The following is a 22,245-nucleotide window of genomic DNA, read 5'->3' as shown; positions in this document are numbered from 1 at the left end:
AACAAATGGAAGAACATTCCATGTTCATGGATAGGAAGAAGCAATATCGTGAAAATGGCCATACTGCCCAAGGTAATTTATAGATTCAATGCCATCCCCATCAAGCTGCCAATGACTTTCTTCACAGAATTGAAAAAAACTACTTTAAAGTTCATATGGAACCAAAAAAGAGCCCGCATTGCCAAGTCAATCCTAAGCCAAAAGAATAAAGCTGGAGGCATCATGCTACCTGACTTCAAACTATACTACAAGGTTACAGTAACCAAAACAGCATGGTACTGCTACCAAAACAGAGATATAGCCCAATGGAACAGAACAGAGCCCTCAGAAATAATACCACATATCTACAACTATCTGATCTTTGACAAACCTGACAAAAACAAGAAATGGGGAAAGGATTCCCTATATAACAAATGGTGCTGGGAAAACTGGCTAGCCATATGTAGAAAGCTGAAACTGGATCCCTTCCTTACACCTTATACAAAAATTAATTCAAGATGGATTAAAGACTTAAACCTTAGATCTAAAACCAGAAAAACCCTAGAAGAAAACCTAGGCAATACCATTCAGGACTTAGGCATGGGCAAGGACTTCATGTCTAAAACACCAAAAGCAATGGCAACAAAAGCCAAAATTGACAAATGGGATCTAATTAAACTCAAGAGCTTCTGCACAGCAAAAGAAACTACCATCAGAGTGAACAGGCAACCTACAGAATGGGAGAAAATGTTTGCAATCTACTCATCTGACAAAGGGCTAATATCCAGAATCTACAAAGAACTCAAACAAATTTACAAGAAAAAAACAACCCCATCAACAAGTGGGCAAAGGATATGAACAGACACTTCTCAAAAGAAGACATTTATTCAGCCAACAGACACAAGAAAAAATGCTCATCATCACTGGCCATCAGAGAAAGGCAAATCAAAACCTCAATGAGATACCATCTCACACCAGTAAGAATGGCGATCATTAGAAAGTCAGGAAACAACAGGTGCCGGAGAGGATGTGGAGAAATAGGAACACTTTTACACTGTTGGGGGGACTGTAAACTAGTTCAACCATTGTGGAAGTCAGTGTGGCGATTCTTCAGGGATCTAGAACTAGAAATACCATTTGACCCAGCAATCCCATTACTGGGTATATATCCAAAGGATTATAAATCATGCTGCTATAAAGACACATGCACATGTATGTTTACTGCGGCACTATTCACAATAGCAAAGACTTGGAACCAACCCAAATGTCCATCAGTGATAGACTGGATTAAGAAAACGTGGCACATATACACCATGGAATACTATGCAGCCGTAAAAAATGATGAGTTCATGTCCTTTGTAGGGACATGGATGAAGCTGGAAACCATCATTCTCAGCAAACTATCGCAAGGACAAAAAACCAAACACTGCATGTTCTCACTCACAGGTGGGAATTGAACAATGAGAACACTTGGACACAGGAAGGGGAACATCACACACCGGGGACTGTTGAGGGGTGGGAGGAGGGGGGAGGGATAGCATTAGGAGATACAGCTAATGTAAATGACGAGTTAATGGGTGCAGCACACCAACATGGCACAAGTATACATATGTAACAAACCTGCACGTTGTGCACATGTACCCTAAAACTTAAAGTATAATAAAATAATTTAAAAAAAATTTCTATTTCTGAAAGAAATGAAGGTGTTTATTCTACTTACAATCCCTTACAATTTAAAAATAAAATCTATGTATTTAATGTCCTTTGATGGACTTTACAAAGCATCAGTAAAGGGAAACACTAAAAAGTACTTTTAAAAACAATACCAGGAAATAATATAGAGGATGTTCAAAGTGTAACAACACCAATTCAGTCATATTTTTAGCTTTTTCTACAGCTAGTAATAATAAAAGCCAACATAGTAGCAGACATTTACCATTAATGATTACTAGAGCCTTTGGCATTGCCATATGAAGTTTAATTCCCCAAAGTTGTCAATTATAGCTTGGTAATATCCTCTTGGTGGGATATTGCTTGAAGATACAGAAGGCTTTTCTACCAGCTTCCTTCCTGCTTTATTACCCCTAATTCAAGGTTTGTTTTTTGTTTTTGTTTTTCATTTCCACTCAAAGTTCAGAAATCATGACTGCTAAAAAATTTGGAGAATACTATGTTAGTAACATAACAATCACTATTGCCTAAAAAAATTTTATAAGCTATTGTTTTATTGATAGACATGAACCTAGTCATATACAATCCTTGATTTCTAAGAATTTAAACAATTGAGTAAAAAGTGAATTCCAAAATACTTTTCATTTAAAAAAATAAGTAATGTCCCTACTATTTAACTTTGATATACATATTCTTGAAGTGGCATTAAAAGAACCACATCATGCTATCTCCTAGGGGAAAACAAATACTTAAGGTCAGATATTCAATGCATTACTCTTTCAGATAGTACCATTCCCTTCAATCTTTTCTTTAAAAGTGGAAAGGCCATCTCTGATCAGTAATTTTAAAGCCTGCCTGAATCCCTTTCAAAGATTTTATCTCAAAACCTAAAAGTATATTATTAATATTTTTCTGAAGGTTCCCTCCAAGATTTCAAACAATCAACCAGGATTTTAGAAACTAACATCCTGGGAATAAGTGTTAGACTTGAACTGGTCTAGCATATACCTGACGATGCACACAACTCTTCTTCTGGAGGTAGAGATAATCAAACAAAGGTTAGACTTTCAAAAAGCCTCCTTAACAAAGGCCTCAAGTAGATTACTTTTTTAAATACCTGTATTGGAAATGTAGAAGTCAATCATTCATTCAATCTACTGAATCTACTATTAGGATGCTGAAATACAATGTTAGGTACCACCATGCTAGGAACTGATGATACAAAATTAGTAAGACTTGATCGCTGTCTTAAGGGAAGCCTACGACACAAGTGAGGGAGAGAGAGGCACTTGAAAAAACTGGCATTTTCTTCATCCCTCCAAATCTCATGTTGAAATATAATCCCCAGTGTTGGAGGTGGACCCTGGTGGGAGGTGTATGGGTCATCAGGGTGGATCTCTCATGAACGGCATGAACGGCATGGTGCTGTCCTCAAGATAGTGAGTTCTACGGAGATCTGGTTTGTTTAAAAGGGTGTGACACTTTTCCTACTCTCTCTTGCTCCCACTCTCACCATGTGATGTGCTGGCTCCCCCTTCACCTTTCACCACGTTTATAAACTTCCTGAGGCCCTCACTAGAAGCAGGTGTTGGCACTATGCATCATATCTACCCTGCAGAACTGTGAGCCAACTAAACTAAACCTCTTTTCTCTATACTACTCAGTCTCAGGTATTCCTTTTTAAGTGATGCAAGAATGGACTAACCGTTGGTACGAAAAATAAACTACTCCAAAAGTACTCCACAATGAACCATTCCAAGATGGCTACAGGATCAACCCACTTAATATTTTTATAAGTTATCTAGAACAAGAAACAATACTGAAATCTTCTAATATGAAGATGATGAGAAATGTCAATACTAACAAAGATCAACAATTAGAAAAACTAGGGAGATATATATAAAGAAACAAAAATCTACAATGAAGGTAAGCATAATATAATAGATTTAATGGATAATAAAACTTTCAAATCATGATGATTAAGTTCTTAAAAATCCTCATGGTAGGAGAAATCTTTCTTTCTTTCTTTCTTTCTTTTTTGAGACGGAGTCTCGCTCTGTTGCCCAGGCTGGAGTGCAGTGGCACACTCTTGGCTCACTGCAACCTCTGCCTCCTCGGTTCAAGCGATTCTCCTGCCTCAGCCTCCAGAGTAGCTGGGACTACAGGCGTGCACCACCACGCCCGGCTAATTATTGTATTTTTAGTAGAGACGGGGTTTCACCATATTGGCCAGGCTGGTCTCGAACTCCTGAGCTCAAGTGATCCGCCCATATCGGCCTCCCAAAGTGCTGGGATTACAGGCATGAGCCACCACGCCTGGCCGAGAAATCTTAGATAAAGAACTCATAACCTAATCTTTTAATGAGATTGCAAAACAATCTATAATGGTTCACAAATGCTTTATATTCCCTAAAATGAAATGCGGGGAACAAAGAAGACACTGAATAGCTACCAATGGTATTTCTCTACCCTAAACTGGTAATAAGCTACACTCTTAAGTAGTATTAGAACTTAAGATGAAATAGGTAAATACATGGGGCTAAAATAAGAAGGAAAGGATGTAGTTAGTTACTGGGAAGGACCTGCCTCCTACCTTAGCTCATAGATATTTACACTTGCATAGTCATTTAAGTTTAATTCTAAAAGCTGCTTGAATATTTCTGACATTAGCATAAATGTGTCCTTAACCAGGAGGTCCATGGAGTTTTAGGACTTCTGTGAATCCTGTTAAAGAACATGCAAAATTATGCATGTAAATATATGAAATTTTACGTAAAGATGATCCATACTTCTCATCAGATTCACCCTTTGACATCACACTATACCTGATGTGACCCAAGAAAGGTTAAGAATCAACCAGCAACCAGATTTTCCTGCCATGATCCAAAAAAACTGGAATTTTCTCCATCCTTTGGATAAAGCATGGAATAGAAGCTGTGGACTTCTTTTGAAAGTCTCTTTACACTTCATTATTGGCTATAATTCATTCACACCTCATCTGAAGGTCCATTCTTAGACTTTGCTTAGACATTTTCTCAAAATAGGGACTTTAAAAACATCCATACCTATTAATTCCTATAAAAAGCTTTGATTTTTAAAAAGCATTTGAGGCAAAATGTTAGTTACCAGTTTTATAAATTAATAAAAATGCTCCGTGATACTACAGCTCTCTGGTGCCTGAGAGCTTTGCTTCCATAGTCAATATTCCTCAAGCTTGATTACAGGAGAGTCATTTTAAATCCTCTCTAGCAGGAAGAGTCTTTTCCTTTATATAACACTACTAGACATTTACCTGGGCAGTAATATCTCTAACAGCATAAACAATGTTTCTTTTTAATCTTTTCTTGCCCAATATCACAAAGGCTACAAATACCACATGGTAGTACACGTAGCACAATGATAAAATATAATACATTTTCATGATACTTAGTATATATGTGACCAATCACCTAAGAGGAAATTGGCAGAAGAACAAAAGTAGAAACAAGTGACTCAGATGTCCAGCAGAGGTTCTGAAAAACATATACAGTACAGAAGTAAATTTACATTAGATCTGAATTCCAAATAAGGCAAACTCATAAATGAGAAGGGATTATTACACTCATAAAATAAGAGAGCTCTGGAAAGAGATCTGGGAGTCATTATATACTGTTTCCTGAACAGTAACATGTCCAATGTGCTGTTACAGTCAGAAAGGCCAATGGTAATAGTGGCCATTAGCAGAGTGCATATCGGAAACAGAAAACAAAATACTACCTAAGTCTATTTTATATAAAACCATTTCTTAACAAGAGCCTGACAATCCATGTAAGGAAAATAAAATTTTTAGGAAGGTAAGGGCTGGGGGCCTCCCGTATGAAAGTGAACTATAAAACTTTTAAATCTACAGCCTGAAAATAATGCTGAAAGGTAACTGACTCAAAATGCACAGATTCCAAAGGCAAGAGGTAGTGACAGAGGGTGAACACAAATTATTTCACAAATAACAGAACCAGTGAAAACCCCAAAATCTCAAGTTTGGAGAAGAAATTAATTTATAGAGTAGAGGATGCTAATAGGTTATTTCGTAACTTCTTCTCACAATAATCCTGTGAGGAAAAAATTTACCATGTATTTCAACACAAATCTTTGGAAGAAAGATTAGAATGCAAAATGTCCTTCCCATATTTATTTTAAAAAGAAAAAAAATACTAATTGGATATTCAGGCCCAGCATGGTGGCTCAAGCCTGTAAATCCAAGCACTTTGGGAGGCCAAGGCGGGCAGATTACTTGAGACCAGTTCAAGACCAGCCTGGCCAACATGGGGAAACCATCATCTCTACTAAAAATACAGAAATTAGCTGGGCGTGGTGGCACACGCCTGTCATCTCAGCTACTCGGGAGGCTGAGGAAAGAGAATCACTTGAGCCTGGGAGGCGGAGGTTGCAGTAAGCCGAGATCATGCTACTGCACTCCAGCCTGGGCGAAAGAGCGAGGCTCCATCTCAAAAAAAAAAAAAAAGACTAATGGGATTCAGTAAAAAGCATCATTAGCTATTAATTTCACGTCTCTGTGAATGCAGTTTATTCTAAGTATTAAACACACACAAGAAGTTACTGAAGTTCACCACCATCAGGAACATACAATTTAATATGCAGTTTCGTATGGTACTATCTGCACTTCCTGATGTAGTTGTAGGCTTGCAGCACCCACAAGATAAACATGCTTATTAAAATAAAATTTTTTTTTTTCCAGACTAAGTCTTGCTCTGTTGCCCGGACTGGAGTGCAGTGGCGCGATCTCAGCTCACTGCAACCTCCACCGCCCAGGTTCAAGTGATTCTCCTGCCCTGCCTTAGCCTCCTGAGTAGCTGGGATTACAGGCACCCGTCACCAGGCCCAGCTAATTTTTGTATTTTTAGTAGAGACAGGGTTTCACCATGTTGGCCAGGCTGGTCTCGAACTCCTGACATCAGATGATCCACCTGCCTGAGCCTCCCAAAGTGCTGGGATTACAGGTGTGAGCTACCGTGTCCGGCCAAAATAAAATATTCATTCTCAAAAAATTATAGTAAGTACTAGAAGAAAATGTCATCAAATATTAAGCAGTGTTTTTAGAAAACAGAACAAATATGATGATCTTTTAAGAAACAGATTTATAAATACTCTAGACCCTTCCTCACCAAACAATGAGTGAAACATAGACTAAACAAAATGAAAGTAAAGAGAATAATTAAGGAATTATTTACTTAAAATCAACCCCACCATAAAACACACAACAGTTTACCTACTTTTAAACTACTTAAATATTTTAAGTAATCATTATTAATTTTTTGGCAAGATTCTACAATTCTGCAATTTCACAGGAATGACTTGGGGAAAATAATTTTAACTTAATGAATTATCCTTTTCCTCCTGAATACATCATGGAATATAGGAAACATTATTTTCTATAGTTTGTTATAACACAATGATGGAAAAGAATAAGTAAACAAAGATATAGAGAAAAAATAAAAAGGAAATCTTATGACAATAAGTTCATTTAAAGCAGGGACTGCATTTAAGTGTTTGCCACATTCAAGGAGCCACCCAATAAAACTGCTTAGTAGTTAGTTAAATCTAATAGTAGTGCTTATGTCAAGCCACCTTGGTAAACTCTGGGCTGGGCCCTGCCCAGGAAACAAAGCACACCCCACATAGAATTCTCTCAATCTTTCCGTCACGCTGCATAAATGAGGCACAAGAAATAGCAAGAAATTTGGTACTGCCAAAACAAAATCACCTCAACCAAAAGCACATATGAAAGTCTCCAACTTGATACTGTGCTAAATATTGCATAAAGAAGTGCAGTCACTGTCTGGTTATCTATACCAGTGAAGAGGAGCCATGGAAATTGAACATGGACAGATCATCCACTCAGCTGATTTGAGGTCATAGCCCCTCTCTGCACAACATGGAAACTTAGCTGAAAAACAGAAAAGTAGCTCTAACTTAGCTAAGCAACAAAGGGTACATTCAGTCAATTCAGGAGCCCCCAACTAGAGGTCCCCACAATGTGGTTGCCATCCCAGGTGGAAATCTGGTCCCTAATTGTATCTGGGCAACAAAGGGCTCCAATGTGAGTCAAGATGTGAAACACTAAAATGGCACTGCAGTTAAAAACCTGAGAAAAAACGTCTATGAAAAAATCATCTAGGGCTGGGCACAGTGGCTCAAGCCTGTAATCAGCATTTTGGGAGGCTGAGGCGGGCAGATCACGAGGTCAGATCAGGAGGTCAGGAATTCGAGACCAGTCTGGCCAACATGGCGAAACCCTGTCTCTACTAAAAATACGAAAATTAGCCAGGCATGGTGGTGGGCGCCTGTAATCCCAGCTACTCGGGAGGCTGAGGCAGGAGAATCGCTTCAACCCAGGAGGCGGAGGTCGCAGTGAGCTGAGATGGTGCCACTGCACTCCAGCCTGGGCGACAGGTGCAAGACTCCATCTCAAAAAAAAAAAAAAAGAAAAAGAAAAAGTCACCTATTTTGTCACTAGACAATAGAGTTCTTCTGCCAACTAAGAACTTCAGTATTCTGAATCTACTAATTTTTGGAAATAAGGTCAACTAATTAATTTTTACAATATTCCTTTTAGATCTAAACAATGAATTTTGACTTTAAAGCCTTAAAACTGATTTAAAATACCTAAAAACTGCAAGGGCATCATCTTAAAGCAAAATAGCAAAATAATAGTGTTATTATATATATATATATATTTAATTGGGTCAGTATTATATATCTCCATAAAACCTTTTATTCAATATTAATCACTGAATCTTTTATTCAAAAATTTAGTGATTTCTAAATAATACTTAACAGTTCACTTTTTGCCATATTCAGATTACACATTACATTAAAATCCTAATTAAAGCAACTTGACTGAGAAATAGAAAGTGAGGTGAGGGGAGAATACCCAATTTTTTAAATGAGCTTATTAATTCAATAGGTTTAATAATCAAAAATCCATCTGTTTTGCATGTCAGTGTAAAAGTGCTGCTCATTCCAGTTGAGGAAATAATGAAAATAAATAGTGACCTGAATAAAAATTAACTGCATACATGGTTAGACTCATGGTCTGGGCTTCTTTATTTTGGATAAATTTTATTAAAATGGACTACCTCAGGTAAATGAAAGAACGATAGAAACACACATTTATTTAACAGTGTCCTTACAAGAACAGAGCAGATTTTTAGAACTTGAATTGATAACCTCTTGTACTTATATGTGTGACCCATCTTACACTCAACTTATTATCCTCAAGCAAACGGCTCACTTTCAGACTATCTGTCCAAGAACAATGTTGCCCAGTTTTGCTCGTCCACAATTTTCTCGTTTTCTCTATTGCTCCTGCATGATCTCCACACCCATTGAAAAACTGGAGGGGGAAAGGAAAAAAAAGAAAAAACACTCTGCAAAAAGAAAACCATAAAGTCACCACACACTGAACAGAACCATTTCTGCCACCATTACTTGCTTACCTTATCTTCCCTAGTCTTAGCTCCCTCACCTAAAAGAAATAGTATAAAATAACCTTTTAGCCCTAAAAATTCTGTACCTCTATAAGACCTCACAGCCACCTCTGAAAGCTATTAATCAGATAAACAAAAACTCACATACAAAAAGCATTTTCATTACAAATATACAACAGAATAAGAATTTAGCTCAGTGCAAACTAGAGCTCTGTAGGGGAGCAAGTAGAAGTTTACCAAGCAAGCAATAGCATCAATGTAATTGTTCAGTTCCTTTTAGCGGATTTAATTATAACTATTTTAGAGCATGGTAACATGGCAAAATAATAGGTACATCTAATTAGTTTTTTAAAAAACTTAAAAATGATATTTTAAAATAATTTAAATAATATACATTATGAAACTTATTTTCATGTAATTTCGAATCAAATTAGAACTAGAATGAGCATAATACTTTATACATGAAGATACTGAGACTCAGGCTGATTCAGAGCTCTTTCCATGCTATCTCTTGTCTGTAATGCCACCTTCTATAATTTCAAATTAGTTTCTACATGGTAGAAATGCAAATTAAGTAAGGAGTGATTATGATCAAGCTTACAGCTCAATCTATACGTTGAAAATGAGTAAGACTGCATGCATATCCATGTTTCCTTGACAAAGTGGGCTCTGCTTTACCATGCTTGCTAAAATTCTGCCTAAGGAAATCCCAGCCTAAGGAAATGTCTTTAAGTAAAGACCTAAAAGATTAATTACAGATCATGGGTGGGAGAAAAGTACATTTTGAGCAGAGGCAACCACCACATGTTCAAGGGTCCTTAGACAGGAAAAGAAAACTGTTTAAACACTACAAGTATGACTAGCATTGGAAAGATGTGATTGAAAAGGCAGGAAGGAGTCAGATCACAAAGGGACTTAAAGCCTTGTCAACATTTTGGGTTTTATTCTAAACCACTGAAATAAAGGAGGTCCTATCAGATTTGCATTTTGCATTGCATTTTGGCTACCATGTGAAGAAAAAAATTGGAGGGAAAACTCCAGAAAAAAAAAACATTAAAAATTTACACTATAGGCCGGGCGCAGTGGCTCATGCCTATAATCCCAGCACTTTGGGAGGCCTAGGCGTGTAGATCACTTGAGGTCAGGAGTTTGAGACCAGCCTGGCCAACATGGTAAAACCCTGTCTCTACTAAAAATTCAAAAAAAAAAAAAAAATAGCTGGGTGTGGTGGTGCATGCCTGTAATCCCAGCTACTCGGGAGGCTGAGGCAGGAGAATCACTTGAACCCAGGAGATGAAGGTTGTAGTGAGCCGAGGTTGCGCCACTGCACTCTAGCCTAGGTGACAGAGCGAGATTCTGTCTCAAAAAAAAAAAAAAATTACACTATAATTTGGAAATGACTACTTCTCTTCTGCTAATATCCAAAACACATTCTGAGCCTCACAAAACAACATGTGGCAGTAAACAGCACAGTTAAGAACTTACACTAAGTTCAAATATTATGTTATTAGCTGGTACGGTATTTTGGTTCATCAAATATTGAGATGATAAGCCAAAAATAACAACTTTTATGTAATTAAATTAGTTTTAAGGAATTTAGGGGTATTATGCACATTTACCAGAATCTTTATAAAAAGCTAGAAAAAAATTATCAATAAATTAATCACCACTGATGTAAGTCACCTGGGTAAATATTTCACAGTGCCTCATTTCAAATGTTTTACACACTTAACAAAAATTGTGCTATAGTGTTAAGTACTTAAGATGACAAGACAGTACATAAAAATCAAATATTATGGTTACAATTAACGTGACAACTCCACATCTCTTTGTCTCTCATAGACTATATAATTAAAAGTTAATTGAATACCTTTCCAAAGAACCTCTTTTTCTGCCAGTGTTAGATATAGAACTCTTAGAGTGAAAGCAAAAGAAAGTTCTTCCTAGTTACACATTGCCAAGGACAAAAGTCAGACTAATCAAAAGATTCCCACCAAGAACTCCGTGACATCAACTAACATTTCACTGATAATTCCGCAAAAGAATATTCAGTATATAACAGCCTTGATCTTTGTGAAATGGCTCATCTGTCAGGCATCTTTCATTTGCTATTCAAAATGACTAATCTAAAGGATGCTGCAAACTATGCAATGCAGATTTTCACTTCAAGTTAACAATGCAATTTTCTAAGTCAAAACCAACTGATAGTAAAATACTATTTACACAACAAGTTTAATCTCTGAATACTATTATTCTATAAAAGCATGTTGTAAAGGTAGATGATCTTTGAAATAATCTAAAAGAAAAAAATTTTTAATTTACTAGTTAGGATGCTTATAAATACACGGTATAATAATTAGCTAGGAAAAAATGAAGCTAAAACTACTGTAAAGAATAAATAATCATTAAAGAGTCTTCAGTCATAGGTTAAAATATTCTTCTCACACAAATATTTACATAATTTCATCCCTACCATCCTAGTAAAGTATTATGCTCTAATAAGAACTATCCTAATCTTCACTCAGCAATATTTTCAGGCTGATATTATTATTCTCATTTCCTTGAATAATATCCATACTCCAGGGCCATTTTCTTTCTCATATTCAATATCATGCATGCTTGTATCAAGGTTCCTTTCTTCATATCCTGTCACAGTATCAATCACTGCCTCCTGTCCACTCAATCCACTTTTGATTTATCAGCCGCCGTCTTTCTGGACTCCATAACTCGACCCAAACCATTTTAACAAGACATTGACAAATAGCACCCAGAATCACTTCAACCTGTTCCACTTAGTAAACTAAGAAACAGTAACTGTGACATCTCTGCATAAGTATTCCATTCTATTCCCCAGACTGATGTATATTAATGAGAAGATGGTATTTGAAATGCTTCTTCCACATCAGCATCTAATATGATCAAATTAGGAAATGGGATGATTTATTAAATTTTGTAGAGCTGAAATATTTCTTTATATCGCCATATGTGTGGTTTCAGAAAGTGAGCTGTTGCTTTCAATTTTTCTACTGAAGATATGCCTGCATTTCACAGACGAATTATTGTCTTTAAAAAGATTGCAAGAAGGCAAAATGTTATTAAGCAAATGCTCAGTAAAACAAACTAAATTGGTTTTAAAATTCCTAATTTAATGTAAATCTTGGTTGTTTCACTGAAATTCAGTTTGTGATCTTATTTAGTCATATTTGCATCGTACTGTCTTGCTGTAGGACAGTTTTAAATTTATAGCATTACCAAGCAGCTTCACTTCTTGACTTTTAAGATATGTCCTCAATAAAATAAATAATTGCTCTCTAAGCACATATTTTGTTCTCATTTTCAGATACAAGACAAAATAAAGATCAATAGGTTAATAAAAGAATAAAATAAAAATAGAAAATCAACTGGATCATTTCTATAATTTTCATAATTAGATATTAAAATGTTTTCATTAAAGTGATCCCCAATTTAAAATTCAATAACTGTTTCATGCATAGTTTAAACTTTAAACAATAAATTAGTTTTTCATATTACATTTGGATATGAAAGGGACATTCAATACATTCACAATAAAAATAAAATGAGTTAGAATAAATGTAACATTCATATTTTCCTTAAAGAAATTCTCTTCTTACTTCATCTTCTAGTTTCCAGATATCCGTTTATTCCAGAAGTCGAACTCTACACTCATCTCAAAACTAGAGGATTTCCAAGAACAAAACTACATTTAAGTCTATTTCTAGGCTGATCCCAACGTACTGGGCATACTTAATCATTTTCTAATAGAGTTGCCAAAGATTTATTCCTGTTCATGGACAAATTGAAGGATTACAAATAAATGAATTCTGAAGGGGATCTGACTTTGTTCATTGATTAGAAAACAGCTGTAAAATTTAATAGTGCAATACAATGAGGGTAATATTTGAGAAAAGGAAAAACTACAAAAACAAGGAAAGGATAGCTCATCCAGTATAAAATTAATTGTGATTCTCAGACATTTACTACTTAGATGTTATGTGAATAGGGATCATGTGGTCACTGTCACATGAATGGAATAGCAATCTTGCAATTTTAAAGAGACTAACCTAATTTTTAAGTTCAAAAAACTCAGCATTTTTCAAGTTGAAGAAATAACATAAAGAGTACTACAATGTTAAAATGTAGTCCAATCTTTCTACCCAATAATCGAGAAAAGGGTACCAGAAAAATATCATCAGACACGCTGTCCTTTGTTCCTCAGATAAAAGCATGGAGAAATGATAATTAAGCCTTTTTTAAAAGTCTGTTAAACTACTAAAATATGATAAATTAGAAGTAAATTCACAAGTATGTTCTAGTATGTAATACAAAGAAATAATAATTTAAATGATCTGGGTAGGGTGGCACATACCTGTAATCCCTGCACTTAGTGAGGCCAAGGCAGGGGGATCGCTTGAGCTCAGGAATTTGAGACCAGCCTGGGCAACATGGTGAAACCCCATCTCCGCCAAAAATACAAAAATCATAGTTGGGTGTGGCGGTGTGTACCTGTAGTCCCAGCTACCCAGGAGGTTGAGGTAGGAGGATACCTTGAGTGAAGGAGGTAAAGGCTACAGTGAGCCAAGATTGCACCACTGCACTCCAGCCCAGGTGACAGAGCAACACTCTGTCTCAAATGAATAAATAAAATATAATAAAATGACTTCTAAAGAAAACAATAGCATTTATGCTGGCCTTTACAGTGTGCAACGTACGTTCAGTATATTATTTTACTAGATAAATGCATTTTCTAAAATTATATTACTTTTTCAAATTAATAAATATTTGTTACTTGTTCTAATACATTATTAACAAAAATTTTCCTAATTTTCTCTAATATACAATAATTGATCTCTTCCCTAACACCCTTTACACTTGTAGTCTACAGGTGTACAGTTTCAAGAAATCATGAGGCAACAATTACCTCATGTCACATTCACAAAATGTCTTCAATTTGACATCTTGAATCAAAAGCAAAGTATACCACTATGAAAGAAAAAATATTCATGCAAAAGAACCCGGAGAGTGAACAGCAACAGGAAATATTTTGGGAGTACCAAGTTCATGAGTACATCTGTCACTTCAAATCCCTCAATGCTACCCACACACAATGGGTGTTTTGGGTATGGTACAAAATGAACATATCCACATTATTTCAATTCCACATTAGGCAATAAAACAAAAATCACGCTGACCATGGGGTCTTCAGTACATAGAAATGACTAACAAAGTCAGACAAAAAAATCAAGAGATAAGTGACAACCAAAAAAAGACGAAAATGTATTCAAAAATAAACCATAATCATCCCACTAGATAAAGAAAAAGCTTTTAACAAAAACCAGCAGTGATTGGTACTAACAAATTCCCAGCAAATAAGAAATATGGTGGTGTTCTTCTTCAGTCTTATAAAAGGCAACCACAAGAAACTTAGTTAATATATATTTAAAAGCACATGTACCCTAGAACTTAAAGTATAATAAAAATATATATATAAACAAAAAATTATTAAAGACAAAAATAAAAAAATTTAAAAAATTAACGCCAAAGACTGAATACTTTCCTCCTAAGATAGGAAAAAAGGCAAGTTTGCCCACGTTCATCACTTTTCTTCAGCATAGAAGTAGATCCTAGACACTGCAATGAGCCGAGAAAACTACAGAAATAGCAAACAATTCTAAAAAGATGTAAAACTCAGTTTTCAGGTAATTAATTGTTTTCATGGAAAATCTTAAGCTATCTTCAGAATATCTGCTAGAGCTAATAAGAGTGGAAAGGTTACAGGATACAAACTAAACATACAAAAATATGTAAAATATAAAAGGTACAAAACATATACAACATGTACAAAATTACTTATATTTCTACATACACTAATCCAAAAATCCAAAATACTCCAAACTCTGAAACTTTCTGAGTGCCAGAATGATGCCACAAGTGGAAAATCCCATATCTGAGACCTTTGCTTTCTGATGGTTTAATATACACAAACTTTGTTTCATACACAAAATAATTTAAAATACTACTTAAAATTATTCAGGCTACATGTATAAGGTATACATGAAACATAAATTTTGTGTTTAGACTTGGGTGTTATCCCCAAGATATCTCATTATGTATATGTAAATATTACAAAATCTGAAAAAATCCAAAATCCAAAACACTTTAGGTCCCAAGTATTTCAGATAAGGAATATTCAACCTGTACTCAACAAATAAATGGAAAATAAAATGTTAAAATAATTCCATTTTCAATAGTGTCAAAAAGTGTGGAAATAAATTTAACAAAATATGTATGCTATAGACTGAATGTTTGTGTCCTCAAAAATTCATATGCTGAAACCCTAATGACCAATGTGATAGTATCTGAAGATGGGTCTGGTGGGAGGTAATTAGGTCATGAGAGTGGAGCCCTCATGACAGGATTCATGGCCTTCTAAGAAGAGACAAGAGAGAATTTGCTTCCTCTCTATGATCTCCAAAATGTAACATGGGACACAAGAAGAAGACAGCCATCTGTCAACCTAAAAGAGGGCCCTCACCAGAACTAGACCATGCTGTCACCCTGATCTCTAACCTCCCAGGCACCAGAACTGTAAGAAATGTATTTATGTTGTTTAAGTCACACAGTATCTTGTCACAGCTGCCCTAACTGTGTAAAACCACTATAATGAAAACTACATAACATTGTTTGGAGAAACTAAAGAAAAGCAAAATAAATGGAGAGATACAACATGTTCATAAAATAAAACATTCTATGATGTCAATACTCCTATTCTACTGATTCAATAAACATCCAATCAAAGTCCCAGCAAGCTTTTGACAAAATTGTCAAGTTGATTCTAAAATTTATATGAAAATGTAAACAATAACACCTAACTTTAAGACTTACTATAGAACCAAAGTAATCAAAATTGTCTAAGACTAGTATAAAAACAGACAAAGGAATGGAACCAAATAAACAATCCAGAAATAGAGTCACATTCGTATAGTTAGCTGGTTTTCGACAGAGGTACCAAGACTACTCAGTAAGAAAATAGGGCTAGACTGGCCAGGCGCGGTGGCTTATGCTTGTAATCCCAGCACTCTGGGAGGCCAAGGCGGGCGGATCACTTGAGGTCAGGAGTTCAAGACCAGCCTGGCCAACATGGTGAAACCCCATCTCTCCAAAAATTACAAAAATTAGCTGGACGTGGTGGTGGGCACCTGTAATCCCAGCTACCCGGGAGGCTGAGGCACGAGAATCACTTGAACCCAGGAGGCAGAGGTTGCAGTGAGATGAGAATTGCGTCACTATACTCTAGTCTCGGCAATAGAGACTCAGTCTCAAAAAAAAAAAAAAAAAAAAAAAGAAAGAAAGAAATGTTCCTAGATCTCCGTATGAAGAAAATAATTGAACCTAACCCCCTATCTCATATGATACACAAAAATTAATTTGAATCATCAGGCAAACCCCAAAGTAACTGCTACAGAAAAAAACCACTGAGAGATGCTAAAGTTAGTAAGTGAAAGGTTGAGGAGATGCGCAGAATACTTATAGTTAGAAAATATCTCTCCCAAGATATCTATCAACTACAAAAGGAAAGATAGTAACTTCACAGGCGAAACCTGGCACCTTAACTACACGATCAAGGTTAACACCACTATGACATAGCAGTATCACAGACCCCTTGATATGATGCAATAAAAAGTACACAATGTCATTTCTCTCGTATTCTTGCCAAAAATGCATAGCTCACTCTAATCACGAGAAAACATCACACAAACTCAGGCTGAGGGGCAATCTACAAAATAAACACCATTATTCCTCAAAAGTGCCAAAGTCATGAAAGACAAGCACAGACTCATCTTTGGATGAGGAACTCTCGTAGACTGGAGGAGACTAAGAAGAGATTAACAACTAAATGCAATATAGAATCCTGGATTGGATCCTGGAGCAGAAAAAGAACGTTATGAGAAAACTGATAAGATTTATAATCTAGTTACTAGAACTGTATCAATGTTAATGTCCTGCTTTCGATTACTGTACCAGGTGAGGTGATATGAGGGGTATAAGGAAATTCTGTATTATTTTTTACAGCTTTTCTGTTAGTCTAAAATTAGTTTAAAATAAAGGTTAGAAAGAGCCTGTAAGAAACAAAAAAAGTTAACTTGAGAATGATGATGGCAAGATGGCAGTATAGGAAATCCCAGCCCTCATTCCCCCAAGAAAGACACTGATAAAACAATATACAAACCAAAATACCTATATGGAACTTCAAAAAACAGTTAAGAAGTTGCAGTACTCCGGGCAAGCGCAAAGCCAAGTACAACCTCACTGAAATAATTAAGAACCATTTTACTTTACCTGTCCCTAAGGCCAGCAAATCTCCATTCAGCTCATGGCTTTTAGGGTAACGGACTGGGGAAAAGAGAAGCATGGAATGTAAGTCCAACATTCTGACTTTTCTGAGGGCCACCCAAGGGATGGGTTTCTGTCTTGCCTGGAGCACTAATGGAAACAGCACAGGTTAGATTTCTGGGTGCCAACAAAAGCAAAAGAGAACAGAAACAGATTGCTATGGCACCAGAGGGCCAGCAGTACCAAAGACAGAGACTGGGATGACTCAGCACCATTGAGAAAAGACATCCAACTTGTTTCTTCGTCAGAAGTGAGAGAGAAGAGTGAAGTACATGCTTCAAATATTCCAGCATTTTGGAGAGGTGCCAGAGGGAATGATATCTCTCACCTGCTAAATGGTGCTGATGAGGAAGCTGGCATATATTGAAAAAAGCTGGTTGGTGAAGGACTTTCCCCATAAGAAGCCAGTCCATAAAGACTAGGAAAGGCAGCTGTTTTTTAAAATTGCATAAAAACTCAGCCAAAAAAAAAAAAAAAAAAAACCACAAAGCAGTCAAAGAAAGAAGGAAACCTAGCCCAATCAAAGGAACCAAATAAATTGCCAGAAACCACCTCAAAGAAACTGAGATCTGTAAATTACCTGACAAAGAAATAAAAACAGTTGTCTTAAAGCTCAATGATCCAAAAAAGAACACAGATGCACAACTAAATGAAGTCAAGAGAACAAAGTATAAACAAAATCAAGACTATCAACAAAGAGAAATTACATAAAAAAAAAGCAAAAATGCTAATGCCAAAGAATACAATAGCTGAATTGAAAAATTCACTAGAGAGGTTCAGTAGCAAACGCAGTCAAGCAGAAGAATAAAATCAGAAAACACAAAGAAAGGTCAATTCAAAATTATTGAGTCAGGGAAGCAAACAAGAAAAAGAATAAAGAAAAGTGAAGGAAGCCTAAGGGACTATAAGACATCATTAAACAGACCAATATACGTATTATGGAGTTATAGAAGAAGATAGAGAAAGAAACAGAGAGTTTACTGTGGAGTTAAGAAGAAGAAACAGAAATGAACAGAGAGCTTATTTGAAGACATAATGGCTAAAAAATTCCCAAATCTGAGAAAACAAATAGGCACCCAAATTTAAGAAGTTCAAAAGACTTCATCCTTTCACTTCAAGAGTGAAGTAAAAGAGGCCCACATAGACACATTATAATCTAATTAACAAAAGTTAAAGGCAAAGAGAGAATCTTGAAAGCAGCAAGAGAAAAGTAAATCGTCATACACAAGGGAGCTTTCATAAGATTTCAGCAATTTTGCAGAGGAAACATTACAAGCCAGAAAGGAATCAGGTGATATATTCAAAGTGCTGAAAGCAAAAAACAAAAACAAAAACAAAAACAAAAACAAAAACAAAAACAAAAAAAACCCTGTCAATCAAGAACACTATATCAAGCAAAATTGTTCTACAAGAACAAAAGACAAATCAAATCTTTCCCAGATAAACAAAAGCTAAGGGAGTTCTTCACTACCAGACCTGCCTTACAAGAAATACTAAGAGGAGTCCTGCAAGTGGAAATGAAATGACACTAGACAGCAACACAAAAGTACATGAAAACATAAAGCTCACTGGTAAAGGTAAATATATACACAAGTACAGAGTACACTAACACTGTAATGGTGGTATGTAAAACATTTTTAATTCAGATATAGAATTGAAAAGATGACAGTATAAAAAATAACTAACTATAAGCTATATTAATGGATACAATAAGATGTAAACTGTGATATCAATAACATAAAATAGAAGTGGAGAAACATACAAGAGCAGTATTTTTGTATAAAGTCAAAGGTTATTACCAACTTAAAAGACAATGTTTTGTGTAAGCCTCATGGCAACCACAAAGAAAATACCTATAGAACATATACAAAATAAAATCAGAAAAAAAATCATAGCATGTCAATACAAAAATCAACAAAACAAAAAGGAAGGCAGCAGGAGACATGAGAGACAAAATAGCTATAAGGCAGAAAACAATCAACAAAATGGCAACAGTAAGTCCTTCCCCATCAGTAATTATTGTAAATGTAACTGGATTAAACTCCCCAAACAAAACACACAAAAGTAGCTGAATGAATTTTTCAAAACACACACTCATACACACAAAATACAATTACAGTATATGCTGTTTACAAAAGATGTGCCTTAGATGTAAAGACACACATATACTGAAAAAGATGAAAAAGATAATCCATACAAATGGTACAAAAAAAGAGCAGAAGTGGCCATACTTACACAAGACAAAATAGACTTTAAGTCAAAGACTGTCACAAGAAAAAAAGAAAATTATATAATGATAAATGGGTCATTATTCTGGAATATATAACAATTATATATATATGCACCTAACACCAGAGCACTCAAATATATAAAGTAAACATTGCCAGAATGGAAGGGAGAAGTATTTAGTAACATAGTAATAGTAGGGTATTTCAATAATCCACTTTCAATAATGGACAGAAAAATAAGACATAAGAGGACCTGAACAACACTACAGATGAATTAGACCTAACATAAATACACAGAACACTCCACACAACAGCAGCAAAATATGCATTCTTCTCAAGTGTACATGGAACATTCTCCACGACAGATTTCATGTTAGGCCACAAAACAAGTCTTAACAAATTTAATAAGACCGAAATCATAGCAAGTATCTTTTCGAAACACAAAGAAATGAAACTAGACATCAATAGCAGTAGAAAAATCAGAAAATCCACAAATATGTAGAAATTAAACTACACACTCTTGAACAACCAAATACACCAAAGAAGAAATCATAAGAGAAATTAGAAAATACCTTTAAACAAATGAAAACACAAACACACATAGTAAAACTTAAGAGAAACAGCAAAAGCAATACTGAAAGGAAAGTTTTAGCATGAACACCTACATTTAAGAAAAAAAGAAAAGTCTCATATCATACTTAATACTTCAAGGAACTAAATAAAGAACAAATTAAACCAAAAATTATCCAAAGAAAGAAAATAAAAATGATTAGAGAAAAAAATAAATAAAATAGAGAACAGAAAGACTTTAGAAAAAAATCAACAAAACTAAGAGTTTTTTGAAAAACAACAACAAAATTAACAAGTACTTAGTTAGATTAAGAAAAAATGAGGCCGGGCAAGGTAGATCATACCTATAATGCCAGCACTTTGGAAGGATAAGGTGGGAGGACCAGTTGACACCAGGAGTTGGAGACTAGCCTGGGCAATATGGTAAGACTGATTTCTACAAAACATATTTTAAAAAGTCAGCCAGGCCTGGTGGTGTATGCTTGTATTTCTAGCCACTTAGGAGACTGAGGTGAGAAGATCATTGAGCCCAGGAGTTTGAGGCTGCAGTGAGCTGACTGCACCAATACACCCAAGCCTAGGTGACAGAGCAACACCTCACCTCCAAAAAAAAAAAAAAAGAAAGAAAGAAAAAGAAAAAATACCAGAAGCGTAATAACTAAAATCAGAAATGAAACAGCAGACATTACAGTTGATGCCACAAACATTGAAAGGATTATAAAAGACTACTAAGAATGCTAATAAACTGGATAACCTAGAAAAAGTGGATAAATTCCTAGAAACATACCACCTACCAAGACTGAATCATGAAGGAAGAGAAAATCTTAACAGACGTATAACTAACAAGGAGATTGAATCAGTAAGCAAAAACCTTCTAACAAAGAAAAGCCCAGGAGCAGATAGCTTCACTGCAGAATTCCACCAAACATTTAAAAAGAAATTAATGTCAATCCTTTTCAAAATCTTCCAAAAAAACTGAAAAGGAGGGAGTACTTCCAAACTCATTTTATCAGGCCAGCATTACTCTGATACCAATGCCAGACAAATATATTACAAGAAAACTGCAAGCCATAAGTCCCTGATGAATACTGACGCAAAAATCCTTAACAAAATACTAGTAAACTCATGTCTGGGGAACGCACGTGCTACCACCACCGGGCTGAAAAAAAGAAACCCAATCTAGCCTACTGGACAATGAGAAGCCACGTACACCCCGGCCAATAGCCAGAACCAAATGCAAGATATATGAGTGAGGCCACATTAGACCATCCAGTTCCAATCAAGCTATCAGATGACTAACTGCATGAATGACCCCAGGTGAGAAAAAAATAAGTGCCAGCTAAGCTCAATCAAAATTATATAATTATAAGAAAATAAATGATTGTTGCTTTACATCGCTGAATTTGGGAATAATTTGTTACAAAGCAATAAATACTTAATAAGGCATACCTTCTTGTTCTGCTTTTTGACCTAGACCTCTGAACTCTATAGGATTTCCCTCGACCCCTTGAACGACTTCGACTTCGTTTCCTTCTGGAGCCATAAGAAGAGCTACTGCTTGATCGATGCCTGCGTCTGAAATAAAATATAATCAAAGATCACTGCTATAAAAATTTTTATTATGAGCATTAAGGAAAAACCTTCTAGATTCTAAAGAATCATCTGATTTTTACTGTCTCACTGTTTCCTGGAAGCAAACAGAGATAAATTAAAATGTTATTTCTCTTGAACAGTCATATGACTGGTTCATAACTTAGTGATTGGATCAGTACTAATTAAGGTATTAAGGGTCTTAGAATCTTTCCAAATATCATCAGATTATATGGTATGAAAACTAAACCAAGGCCAGGCTCAGTAGCTCATGCCTGTAATCCCAACATGTTGGGAGGCCGAGGCAG

The 22,245-nt window shown here is 35.6% G+C and overlaps 1 protein-coding gene across 6 annotated transcripts in view; it reads right to left on the bottom strand.

The window, feature by feature from the left end:
• The window catches only part of RSRC1 (arginine and serine rich coiled-coil 1), a 435,642-nt gene that overhangs the window by 399,943 nt on the left and 13,454 nt on the right, over positions 1-22,245 (bottom strand). For all 6 annotated transcript variants that reach the window (NM_001271838.2, NM_016625.4, NM_001271834.2 and 3 more), the window contains exon 3: positions 21,797-21,922. In NM_001271838.2, the coding sequence (NP_001258767.1) occupies positions 21,797-21,922 (126 nt within the window). The remainder of the gene's footprint in view (positions 1-21,796; positions 21,923-22,245) is intronic.

The sequence above is a fragment of the Homo sapiens genome, chromosome 3 (genome assembly GCF_000001405.40).
Source record: "Homo sapiens chromosome 3, GRCh38.p14 Primary Assembly".
NCBI lineage: Eukaryota > Metazoa > Chordata > Mammalia > Primates > Hominidae > Homo > Homo sapiens.
This window is presented reverse-complemented; position numbering and strand designations above follow the sequence as displayed.